General features: G+C 41.8%; 3 annotated features.

Moving 5' to 3' along the window:
* Positions 11,529-12,060: an enhancer, noted in NCBI's record as "H3K27ac hESC enhancer chr17:63118742-63119273 (GRCh37/hg19 assembly coordinates)". NCBI's record gives its function as "activates a minimal SCP1, AML or CMV promoter by ChIP-STARR-seq in primed H9 embryonic stem cells {active_cell/tissue: H9 hESC(primed)}" and the evidence as "EXISTENCE:reporter gene assay evidence [ECO:0000049][PMID:30033119]".
* Positions 12,061-12,591: an enhancer, noted in NCBI's record as "H3K27ac hESC enhancer chr17:63119274-63119804 (GRCh37/hg19 assembly coordinates)". NCBI's record gives its function as "activates a minimal SCP1, AML or CMV promoter by ChIP-STARR-seq in primed H9 embryonic stem cells {active_cell/tissue: H9 hESC(primed)}" and the evidence as "EXISTENCE:reporter gene assay evidence [ECO:0000049][PMID:30033119]".
* Positions 12,397-12,446: an enhancer, noted in NCBI's record as "active region_12606". NCBI's record gives its function as "activates an Ori minimal core promoter by ATAC-STARR-seq in GM12878 lymphoblastoid cells {active_cell/tissue: GM12878}" and the evidence as "EXISTENCE:reporter gene assay evidence [ECO:0000049][PMID:35858748]".

Below are 13,410 nucleotides of genomic sequence, written 5' to 3' on the forward strand. Positions count from 1 at the left end.
CCCTAGATGGATGCTTGATTTTTTCTAATTCCTTAGCAAAAATGCTAATATTTTATTTAGGATTTTGCATCTATATTCACAAGTGAGGATTTTTTTCCTCTCCTGACACCAACCAATTCTCCAACACAAACTGAGTGTCCTACAATTCAATTTAATTCTGACACTACCCAGAGTTAGCATTAGCCTCCACAGATTTAAGGCCTCAGCCCTACAAGACTGTCCCAATCAGACTCCAGTTGCAAGTCCTGGGCCACCCATACTTCTGGGCAACTGGTTACAAATTGGGGGTTCTTATGACCACCTCCCACAGGCTTGACAATTTGCTAGAATGATTAGTGGAAAGCAAGAAAGTGCTTAACTTAATATTACTGGTTTATTACAAAGGATACAATTCAGGAAAAGCCAAATGGAAGTGATGCATGGAGCAAGGCAAGGGAGAATGAGCACAGAGCTTTCCTACCCTCTCCAGGCACACCACTCTCCCAGCACCTTGATGTGTTCACCAACCTGGAAGCTCTCTGAACCCCATCATTTAGAGGTTTTAATGGAAGTTTCATTACATAGGCATGACTTTTTTTTTTTTTTTTTTTTTTTTTTTTTTGAGACGGAGTCTCGCTCTGTCGCCCAGGCTGGAGTGCAGTGGCACCATCTCGGCTCACTGCAACCTCCACCCCCCAGGTTCAAGCAATTCTCCTGCCTCAGCCTCCCAAGTAGTTGGGACTACAGGTGGACACCACCATGCCCAGCTAATTTTTGTATCTTTAGTAGAGACGGGGTTTCACCATGTTGGCCAGGCTGGTCTTGAACTCCTGACCTCAGGTGATCCGCCTGCCTTGGCTTCCCAAAGTGCTGGGATTATAGGCATGAGCCCTACATAGCAATGACTGATTGAATCTTTGAACACTGGTGATTACTTCAATCTCCAGCCCCTTGTCCCTCTCCCCTCCCCAGAAGTCAGTGGGTGGGGCTAAAAGTTCCAACCCTCTAATCATGCCTAGTTCTCCTTTTTTTTTTTTTAGTTGTTTATTTTTCTTGGCATGCAGAATAAGAGCTATTGTCTAGGTCTTTCTGGTGACCTCTTCATCCTGAACTACCTAGAAGCCTCCAGCCACTAGTCATTTCATTAGTATACAAAAGACACTCTTGCCATTGTGGAGATTTCAGGAGTTTCGGGAGCCATGTGCCAGGAACCAGGGACAAAACCCAAATATTTATTTTTTCTCATACCACAATGATTGACATTGGTCTGTAATTTTTTCTGCTTATAATATCCTAGTCCAGTTTTTCTATTAAGGTTATGGCCACATAAAAAGAGTTGGGAACTATACTCTGTTTTGCTATTCTTTGGTAGAGTTTGTCCAAGTTTATGCAAGATTGGTATTATTCTTTTTTTTTTAGAGACAGGTTCTCACTCTGTCACCCAGACTGGAGTAGCAGTGATGCCATCACAGCTCATTCACTATAACCTTGAACTCCTGGGCTCAAGCAATCCTCCCACCTAAGCCTCCTAAGTACCTGGGACTACAGGTGCACGCTGCCATGCCCTGCTAATTTTTAAATTTTTGGTAGAGGCGGTGCCTTACTGTATTGTCCAGGCTGGTCTTGAACTCCTAGACTCAAGTGATTCTCCTACCTCAGCCTCCCAAAGTGCTGGGTGTATAGGTGTGAGCCACCACACACAGCCCATGGTATTATTCTTTAAATATTTGGAAGAATTAACTGATGAAGCAAGCCATCTGGGGCTTGGAATTCTTTGTGAGAAGTTCTTGAATAGATTCCATTTATTTATGAGATATTGGCTATTCAGATTTTACTTTTTTATGTGGGCTTTGGAAAGTTGTATTTTTCAGGGGGTTTGTCTATTTTATCCAAGTTGTCAATATTTTGGTGTAAAGACAATAATATTCTCTTATCTTTGTTATATTTGTGGGATCTGTATTGATATTCCTTTCTAATATTGAAAATTTGTCTTTTTTGTTTCTGTTGATCAGTATTGTTTGGAGTCTATCAATATAAATAATATTTTCAAATAACCAAATTTTGATTTCGTTGATTTTTCTCCATTGTATATGTGTTTTCTATTTCTTTTCTTTCTTTCTTTTTTTTTTTTTTTGAGACGGAGCCTCGCTCTGCCGCCCAGGCTGGAGTGCAGTGACACGACCTTGGCTTACCGCAAGCTCCACCTCTCGGGTTCACGCCATTCTCCAGCCTCAGCCTCCTGAGTAGCTGGGACTATAGGCGCTCGCCACTACGCCCGGCTAATTTTTTTGTATTTTTAGTAGAGACGGGGTTTCACCACATTAGCCAGGATGGTCTCGATCTCCTGACCTCGTGATCTGCCCGCCTCGGCGTCCCAAAGTGCTGGGATTATAGGCGTGAGCCACCGCGCCAGGCAGATTTGTTTTCTATTTCACTGATTTATAATCTTTATTATTTACTTCTATTTTCCTTAGATATAACTTACTGTTCTTTTTGTTCTTAAACTAAAAAAATAAATCATTGACTTTCACCCTGTCCATTTTTCGAATATACACATTTTTAAGGTTATAAATAACTCTCTAGTCCCTACATTAGCTGCATCCTATGAGTTTTTAGAAGTTACGTCTTTTATGGGGTCACATTCAGTTCAAAATATTTGCTAATATCTGTCTAGATTTCTTCTTTAATCTATGAGTTATTTAGAAATATATTTTTTATTTCCAGGCCGTGGAGATTATCTTTTTATTATTGAGTTCTGACTTAATTTTATTCTGGTCAAACAACATTCTCTGAATGATTTCAATGTTTTGAAATTTGTTGAGGCTTTCTTTATTGCCCATCATATGATCAATTTTGATACGTTTCATGTACACTTAAAAAGTAAATTCATGCATGCCTGTAATCCCAGCTACTTGGGAGGCTGAGGCAGGAGAATTGCTTGAACCTGGGAGGCGGAGGTTGCAGTGAGCCGAGATTGCACCATTGCACTCCAGCCTGGGCAACAACAGCAAAACTCCATCTTAAAAAATAAATAAATAAATAAAATAAATTCTATCATTATGGGTACAGAATTTGATACATATACAACAACTAAGTCAAGTCTGTTAGTTGCGTTATTTAAATCTTCTAGATCCTTACTATATTTTCTTGCTCTATAAGTTACCGAGAAATGTATCTTACAGTCTTCCATAATGATTGTGGATTTGTCACTTTCTTCTTTGAGTTGCTTAATTTTTGCTTTCTGTATTCTGAAGTTATAAGTATGTATAGATTTGTGATTTGATATCTACTTGTTGGATTGACCCATTATAATATGTACCTTTTAATATCTAGTAATGCTTTTTGCTTCAAAATCTTACTTCATACTGCTATAGAATGCCTGGTTTCTTTTGTTAGACTTTTACAGTCTATCTTTCCTCATCCTTTTTCTTTAATCATCGATCTCCATGTATTTAAAGTGTCTCTTTTAGAAGTCACATAGAGTTAGGTTTTGTATTTTTCATCCAGTATGATAATCTTAGTCTTTTTCTTTTTTTTTTTTTTTTGACGGAGTCTCGCTCTGTCACCCCAGGCTGGAGTGCAGTGGCGCGATCTTGGCTCACTGCAACATCTGACTCCCTGGTTCAAGTGATTCTCTTGCCTCAGCCTCCAGAGTAGCTGGGATTACAGGCACATGCCACCACGCCCAGCTAATTTTTGTATTTTTAGTAGAGATGAGGTTTCACCATGTTGGCCAGGATGGTCTTGATGTCCTGACTTTGTGATCTGCCCACCTTGGCTTCCCAAAGTGCTGGGATTGTAGGCATGAACCACTGCACCTGGCCAATCTTAGTTTTTTATTTGGATTATTTAGTCTATTTAAATAATAGTAAAGTAATTATTGATATAAAGTTGGGTTTATTCTATTTGTTTTCTGCTTGACCCATCTGTTTTCTGTTGTTTTTCTTCTTTCTTGCATTCTTTTGGATTAAGAAAATATTTTCTATCATTCTATTCTTTACCTCAAGCTTGTTAGTTATACATTGTTTTGTTACATATTCTTTTTCTTTAGCTGTTATCCTAGAGATTAAACAACATGCAATCTTGACTTATTTCTGTGTAATACAAATTATTACTTTTACCAGTTCCCAAAACATTTAAAACTTTAGGAAACTTTAGTTTTATTTATCTCCTTCCTCATTTTGTGTTGTTGTTATACATGTTTAGTTCTACACATATATTTAAATTCCATAAGACATTATACCTATTGGGTTGGCAATAAATATTCATTAATAATTACCTATATATTCATCCATTCTGGTATTTTTCTTCTTTTTTGAGAGACAGGGTCTTGCTCTGTCACCAAGGCTGGACTGGTGTGCTAGCACAATCATGGCTCATTGCAGCCTCAGCCTCCTGGGCTCAAGCAGTCTTCCCGCCTCAGCCACCTGAGTAGCTAGAACTACAGGCATGCGCCATTATGCCTGGCTAATTTTTAAATTTTTGTAGAGGTGAGATCTCACTATGTTGCCCAGGCTGGTCTCAAACTCCTGGGTGCAAGCAATCCTCCCACTTTGGCATCCCAAAATGCTGGGATTATAGGCACTCCTGGCATATATATATATTAAAATATATATACCAAAATATATATATATATACATTTTAATTGAAATATGGTATTCACTCAGAAAACATGTACAGATCAATACATTTTCACAAGCAGAATGTGGTACATATATTTTAAAACATTAAATTCTGTTTAAAGAAGCAAAATTTTGTATTTTAGGAACACATTACTTACTGTTCAAACAGATGGTTTCCTGAGGAAATGTGTGTGACTTCACACTATGGGGCTGTCTTTGTCAGCCCTCCCAGACTGCCCCATCTGTGACTTGATTTTTTTTTCTCCTTGTCAAGGTGTCCTCCTCAATTCAATTCACCTCTGCTTCAGGCCAACCGAGACAGGGTCCTTTTGTCAACCTTCTGGCTTCCTTTGCCCTGAGGGACGGAAGCCTTTCCCCACAACCCCCATCAGCTTCTCTTTCTGCATGTTGCTGATCTGGAGACCTGCTGTCATTTGTGGCTGCTCTGAGACATGGCCTGGTCATGGGGGCAGAGCCTCCCTTTGACTGCACCATTTGTTAGCTGTGCTTTAGCCTTCTGTGGAGATTACGACTGGAAAGGCTTGAGACATTGATGACTGGTTCAACAACAAGAGCTTGAACTGTATGGGAGGAAAGACTGAATACTACAATTTTAGCAGTCATTACTGGGGAAGCTGGCAGGAGGATCATTTGAGCCCAGGAGTTCGTGACAGCCTGGGTAACAGCAAGACCCTGTCTTATTAAATTATAATAATAATAAACTGAATTATGGACAAAACGAAGTTAACAAATTTTTTTAGCAGTCACCATTCCTTAAGCACCTACTGTCAGGTGCTCTGCCAGAAACTTCTATAGAGCATCTCATGAATCCTCAAAATAATTCTGTGAAGAAAATATCATTACTATCTGATATGGTTTGGCTGTGTCCCCAGCCAAATCTCATCTTGAATTGTAGTTCCCATAATCCCCATGTGTCATGGGAGGGAGCCAGTATGAGGTAATTTAGTCATGGGGGTGGTTACCCTCATGCTGTTCTCATGATAATGGGTGAGTTCTCACGAGATCTGATGGTTTTATAAGGGACTTTACTCCTTTTGCTCGACACTTCTCCTTCCTGCTGCCACGTGAAGAAGGACGTGTTTGCTTCAATTTCTACCATGATTATAAGTTTCCTGAGACCTCACGAGCCATGTTGAACTGTGAGACAATTAAACCTCTTTCCTTTATAAATTACCCAGTCTTAGGTATGTCTTTATTCGCAGTGTGAGAATGGATTAATACACTATACAACTTCAAATAAGGAAGAGGAAGCTCAGGGAAGCAATTTGCCTAAGGTCACACATCTAGTAAGTGCAGAGAGTGTTTGGATCAGATTTAATTCATGTTCTTTGCTCTAGGTCCAGTCACATCTTCTATGCCTATCTCAGCTGCTGACACGTGACTCAGCTGCTCCCATTTTCCTTGGAAAAGTAGGAGCTGGAAAGGACCTCAGTCAGAGGTCATCCACATCAACCATCTCATTTCACTGATGAGGAAACTGAGACTTGGACCAGGTCAGTGGTTGTCATTCACACCCACGTGCCATCCATACCCACGTGCCAGTCACTCCAAACTACACACATTTCTCCAAAGGCATCTGGGTGTTCCCACCTCTCTGCTTTTGCTAACAAGTTTCCCTCTGCTGGAAGTCCCCTTTCTCCTCATTTCACACTGTTAATGATCTTTTCAGCTTTCAAGATTCACTCCAAGCATCATTTCTCTCATCATCTCCTGAGTATCTGCAGGCTACACTTAGCAATTTCTACTGTGCAGGGGAGTTACCACAGCACGCCTGAGACTGCTAACCTTAGAAAGCCCTGCTTTCAAGGTTGGCCTTTCCAAGGCTGGCATGTAGGAGCTTGGGTTTCAGGAGAGTTCCCATGATTCCCTGATAAGAGTGGCTCATTGTGCCTGGACTGTTTGTGCAAACAGTATGGCTTATGTGAAACACCTGCTTTCCTTCTGGGAGTCTGGAATCTTGGTGCATGCTAGGCAGAGGTTGGCTACATGACCAGCCCTCAGTAAAAACTTTGGGTACTGAGTCTCTAATGAGCTTCCCTGATAATGGACAACATTTCACACTTGTCACAGCGCATTGCTAGAGGAATTAAACGTGTCCTGTGTGATTCCACTGAGAGAGGCTCTTGGAAGCTTGCCCCTGGTGGCTTCCAGACTTTGCCCCATGTGCCTTTTCCCTTTGCTAATTTTGCTTTATATCCTTTCATGGTAATAAATTACAGCCATGCTGATGGCTATACTTTGAGTTCTGTGAGTCCTCCAAGCAAATCACTGGACCTGGGAGTCTTGAGTGGTCTTTGGGATCCCCAGCGCACCTGCTGTATGTTCTGCCATATGCTTGAATATAGATTTCCTGCATTAACACTCAAATGCTGCAATGTTTTGGTTTATGAATCTCTCACTCACACTGTCAAAAAGCAAGTTTGTGTTATTCTTCTTTTCATTTCAATAGGTTTTGGGGGAACAGGTGGTGTTTGGTTACATGGATAAGGTCTTTAGTGGTGATTTCTGAATTTTGGTGCACCCATCACCCAAACCGTGTACACTGTACCCCATGTGGGGTCTTTTATCCCTCACCCCCCTCCCACCCTTCCCCCAGAGTCCCCAGAGTCCATTGCATCAATTTTATGCCTTTGCATCCTCATAGCTTAGCCACTTATTTTTGTTTATTTATTTATTATTTATTTTTTGAGACAGAGTCTCACTCTGTCACCCAGGCTGGAGTGTAGTGGCACCATCTCAGCTCACTGCAATCTCTGCTGCCTGAGTTCAAGCGATTCTCCTGCCTCAGCCTCCCAAGTAGCTGGGATTACAGGCGTGTGCCACTACCCCAGGCTAATTTTTGTATTTTTAGTAGAGACGGGGTTTCACCATCTTGGCCAGGCTGGTCTTGAACTCCAGACCTCGTGATCCACCTGCCTCGGCCTCCCAAAGTGCTGGGATTACAGGTGTGAGCCAAAATGCCCGCCCTGCTTAGCCACTTATAAGTGAGAACATATGATGTTTGGTTTTCCATTCCTGAGTTACTTCACTTAGAATAATGGTCTCCAATTCCATCCAGGTTGCTGTGAATGCCATGATTTCGTTCCTTTTTGTGGTTCAGTAGTATTCCATGGTATATATATATATACCACATTTTCTTTATCCACTCGATGATTGATGGGCATTTGGGCTGGTTGCATGTTTTTGCAATTGCGAATTGTGCTGCTATAAACATGTGTGTGTTTATAGCAAGGGAACAGCAAGAGAGTTTTGGTAGCCAGCTTCCAAGATGGCTCCCAATCATCCCTGCACCTGTTTTCATGCCTTCTCCCATTGAGTAGGGTCAACTTATGTAATCGCTAGGTTATTGGGGAAATAATGGTGTGTGACTTCTGAGGTTAGGCCATAAAAGATATTATGGTTTCTGTCTTACTCTTTTGAGTCACTTATTCCAGGGGAAGTCAGCTGCCATGTTGTGAGGACACTCAAGCAATCCTATGGAGAGGCCCATGTGATGAGGAACTGAAGCCTCCTGCCAACAGCCATGTGAGGGCACCATCTTGGAAGCAGATCCGCCAACTTCACCCAAGCCTTCAGATGAATATAGCCCTGACCGACATCTTCACTACAATCTCATGAGAGAACCTGCGCCAGCACTACCTAGCTATGATGCTGCAAAATTCCTGACCCATAGAAACTGTGAGATAATAAATGCCTGTTGTGTTAAGCCACAAGTTTTGTGGAAATTTGTTACTCAGCAATAACTAACATGAGAGTTAGCTGAAGGTCACATTCTTGTTGAGTAGTGGAAAGGGTTTTGTTAACCCTTCACCCACTGTGGTTCACTTGATAAATGATAGATGAATAAAGAGTGAAAATGAGCACAAAAGTGCCTAAGAAAATTTTCTTCTTTATTGGATGAGGAAAGGGTCTGGAACAAACTAATGTAAAATTGAGAAAGGATGAGGGGTATAATCAGAATGACATACAAGCAATGAAAATGAATGAGCTAGAGCTAAACACTACTACATATATTAATATTAGCTGCATAGTGTTGAGTAAAAAAAGCTAGTCCAGAAGACAAAATAGTGTAAGACATCCTTTTGATAAAGTTTTAAAAAAGTGAAACCAATGTATTGTTTAGATATAAATGGCTGTGATAAAACAAAAAACTCCAAAGGCAAGAGCATAAACTTTACAAAGTTTATCATAGTGGTCACTCCTATAGACAGGGAAGCAGGAGGATTGGTCAGAGAGGAGCATGTTGTAACTCTAAGTTATTGGTCATGTTGGTTCATGAAATATTCCTAATACTATTAAATAAATCTAAATAGAATAAAATAAATAGAAAGGGCCACGCATAGAACAAAGATGTTTTTGTACCAGGGACTGAGAATTATGACTAACCCAATCCAATAAGCCTGAGGTCCAATAAAAAGGGTGGTGGTGATGGGGGTTAGTCTAAGGCCTGAAGAAAGGGAGGGATGTTAACACTTTAAACACTGATAGTCGAATGTGAAGCGGAGGCAGGGTGGTCAGTGGGATGGAGGCCACTCTAAACAAAATGTATGGTTTTTGCTATTTGGGAGTAAAAGGCAGCACAATTTCAGGACACTTTATTTTTTGTTTGTTTGTTTTGAGACAGAGTCTCGCTCTGTCGCCCAGGCTGGAGTACAGTGGTGTGATCTCGGCTCACTGCAACCTCTGCCTCCAAGATTCAAACAATTCTCTTGCCTCAGCCTCCTGAGTAGCTGGAATTACAGGTACGTGCCACCATGCCCGGCTAATTTTTGTATTTTTAGTAGAAACAGGGTTTCACCATGTTGGCCAGGCTAGTCTTGAACTCCTGACCATCTCCTTGTTCTGATTGCAAGCTCACTATATGTCTCAGTACAATATAAGAATCTAGTCTCCCATGTAGATCTTCCTACAGGAAAGAAACACACTGTTGGCAAATACAATGATCCAGTCTGACTGATAATTATGTTTTTCACTAGAAAGGAATTAACTCACACTCCAGGTTTATACATCAACTTCTTTTAGTTTGGTTAGCATGTGACCTCTGGATCCTGCTTACCTCTGTGTGAACTAATGGAACCAGCGTTTTGGCCCTACAGAGTGAAGGACAGGATACTGGAAGAAGACAGTCCAAGGCATTGTTACCCAGTCATCCCCAGTCAGGTCTTGTTTGAAACTCCAACAGTTTAGTAATATACTAGTAAGTCAATTTGTAGCTCTACTTGAAGAAGGTTTGTGCCAAACAAGATAGTTTCAGTAACTAAGCTATGTTGAGTGATGTTCAAAACAATTGTTCTAAATTTTATTCTATGTCAGAGCAAGGTTCCAATGAATATCAATGCAAATATACAACACATTTAAATGGTTTTTAATTACATTCTATTTATACAGTTAGCAAATGTTGATCACATCTTATTAAAATAGGTCCATCTAGGAGACTGTGAACAAATTTCTAGGTTTGTCATTAAGAATCCCTGAATCTACTGAATTTTAGAATTTCGACACAATTCACATTTTTTCCAAATAATTATTTCTACTGTTTTATAAATAACTGTATATTGATAATGTTTGCTCAATAATATTGAGATGTTATTTACTGTTCATGATGTGTGCAGGAGGAAGTCCAAGGCCAGGTTTTGTTCATTTCCTTTTCCAGGTGTTATATGGCTTGTGGCACTTCACTAACTAGGAATCATTTTCTTGAACGTTCACAAAACAGAAACTATCCTAACCGAAATCCAGTCAGATGATTTCAAAAAAGTAGATCTGAAATGCCTTTTGAGAGCTGCGAGTGCCTTCTGAGCAGTCCTGTGCCCAGGTGAATGCTTTATGTCAGCATTTTGCAAAATGTGTTCTGGGAAAAACCACATGGGAGGGATATTAATAGAGTGTTACTTTAAAGTTTCTGTGGTTAAAATGCTAGAGAAACACCAGACTAAACAAAGTTAAGCAAGTTCATCACGGCAGGCCTTCTCTGAACGATCTAATATTCTATTAACTGTGTTAAGAGACTGGCAGATTCCTCCCTCCCTCCCTCCCCCCGCTCTTTCTCTCTTTCTTTTTTCTTTCTTTCCTTCTTTTTCTCTTTTCTTTTCTTTTCCCTCCCTCCCTCCCTCTCTTTCCTTTTCTTTTCTTTCTGTCTCTCTCTCTCTCTCTTTTTCTTATTTTCGCCTCAGGAACACATAATGGCAAATGCTTCTTTATAGGGAATATTTCCCAACACAATCTCATAGAAGTGTCAGAGAAGGTATATCAGTTTCACACATGAATAGTTTCCGTTTTATGGATAGTTTCCGTTTTATAAATGTTCAAGAAAATGATTCATAATCACTGAACTGCCACAAGCCATATAACACCTGGAAATGGAAATGAACAAAACCCGGCCTTGGCCTTCCTCCAGCATACATCATGAACAGTAAAATAACATCTCAAAATTATTGAGGAACTAACACCTGTGGTAAGTGGCTGCCCTGGTAGAGAATCCAGGCCAGTATTCTCAAACTAGTAGTCTACAATCATGAGTCTCATTTCTCCTTGGTAAGATTTTTTTTTTTCTGAGACAGGGCCTCATTCTGTCACCCAGGCTGCAGTGCAGTGGCACGATCTCAGCTCACTGCAACCTCCGCCTCCCAGGCTCAAGCCATCCTCCTACCTCAGCCTCCCGAGTAGTTGGGACTACAGGCGTGCACCATGATGCACAGCCTTTGGTTAAGAGATCTTGATTTTGTCTTCACCCTCCTCTCCCATAGGGAGGACGTTAGGACCCTTTCTACCCCTGTACCTCCAATCCTCCTTCCAAGTGGCACTGTCTGCATAGTTCTTGTACTCTACTCTTCCAGGCTCATAGTTCCTCATCTTCTGAACTAATCTTCTTCCCCATTATGTGGTCACAATACTAAAGTGCATTTTTTGTTTGTTTGTTTTGGTTACTTGACTTGTTAAAATTGACAAGTCAGTCGTTCTCCTACATACGGGAAAAATGGGCCCTGAAGTATATATATTTACAGGTCTTGTTCTGTCGCCCAGGCTGGAGTGCAGGGGTGCCACCAAGGCTCACTGCAGCCTCGACCTCCCAGGCTCAAGCAATCCTCCCACCTCAGCCTCCAGAGCAGCTGGGACCACAGGCGCACACCACCACGCCCGGCTAATTTTTGTATTTTTTTTTTTTTTTTTTTTTTAGTAGAGACTGGGTCTCGCTATGTTGCCCAGGCCGGTTTCTAACTCCTGAGCTCCAGCGATCCTCCCAACTTGGCTTCCCAGAGTGCTGGGATTACAGGCGTGAGCCAGTGCGCCCGGCCTAAATTAAATACTTTTAAGTTGCAGTGTCACCATTATTTTTTTCGAGCCTGTAGGGGTTATAAAAAGGAAAGTCCAGAGCTTAGGTATTGGAGGGGCCGATCTCGAGGTAGCACTTAGGCGAAAGGGATCCCGGCGCTATGGGCTTCAAGGGGGCCCCTCCGAAAAGCCTTCCACCCCGGCCCCCAATCCCGCGGCGCGCGAGTTCCGTGGAGGAGGCCGCCCGCGGCCCCAGAGTCGGCATTAGGGGTTCGCGTCCACCCGGCAAGGCCTCCCGTGAGCCCAGAGCAGGGACCTAAGAGGATGCGAGAAACCCTCCAGCAGAAAAAACCCCGCAAACTCAGTGCACTCAGGACGCTGTCTGAAAGAAGCCGAAAGTGGGCAACCGCCGGAAGCCGACACCCTGAGCCCGCATTTCCTCTCTAGGAATCCGGAGGTTTCCGCATCTCTATGGTCTGGGCGTCGAGCGGCGGAGCCTGTGGTCTCTGGCGCAAAGGAAAGTGAACTCCCAGCGAGGAGGGGAAGGAGCATCGGCTTGTCTCTTCGCGATCCCTTTCCTACCCCTTCTCACTCGTGCGCACCTGGCAGTACCACCAGCAGAGCCTCGGAAATTGCTTTCATCACGATTTAACAAAATGAAGACACAGGAACACAATAGGACACCCCCAAACTCAACAAGTTTCTCTAGCTTTTTGCCAGTAGTGTAGCGCACATGCATTTTTAAAATTTAGATGAAGTCTAACATTCATGCAATAACACAGCTGAAATGACGAGTAATAACAATAATAATAACCCAGAAATGTTTGACATTTGAAGTTCCTTTTGAGTTTGAACCCCAGGCTGGAACTGGATGAGCTGGCGTCGTCTCTCAGCACAGACCCTGTCCTCTGGTCCCTAAGGCCGCGAGCAGGAGAGACACACCTGTTCTTCCACTTGCTCCCAGGGCTCCAGCTGGCCCATCTGTTGATTCGAAGGTTCATGCTAACCAACTTACATATACTTTCTTATTTGTATTTTCCACTCTAAAAAGGGATAGGGAAAACAATGCAAATATAAATAACTGCAGAATCTACTAAAATTAGAATTGTCTAGGTTTACAAAACATATGGCATCCAACACAAATAAGGGTGTGGTGAAATTTGTTCATTCTGAGCAGACAGAATGTAAATATATGCATCCTGTTGAAAAACTACTTGGCATTTTATATCAAAAGCCACCGTGACTCATGGGATCCCATCTGTGAAAATTTATCTCAAGCAAATAATGCAAGAGAAAGGAAAAGCTGTATTTTTGAAGTGATTCTGCAATGGACAACTACTGTTATTGTTCGCCCAACATTCAGTTTTTCTTTTAATGATTTTAACAGTAGGATTTTTCTGTGGGAAACCTACTAGCCCTCAATCCACTTCTGGGGTGGGCCCATGACCCAGGCCTGGCCAATGAGAATATCCCAGCATGGCAAGGCAGTAAGACATGAAGTCATGAGCCAGGCTGA

The sequence above is a fragment of the Homo sapiens genome, chromosome 17 (assembly GCF_000001405.40).
Source record: "Homo sapiens chromosome 17, GRCh38.p14 Primary Assembly".
Lineage (NCBI taxonomy): Eukaryota > Metazoa > Chordata > Mammalia > Primates > Hominidae > Homo > Homo sapiens.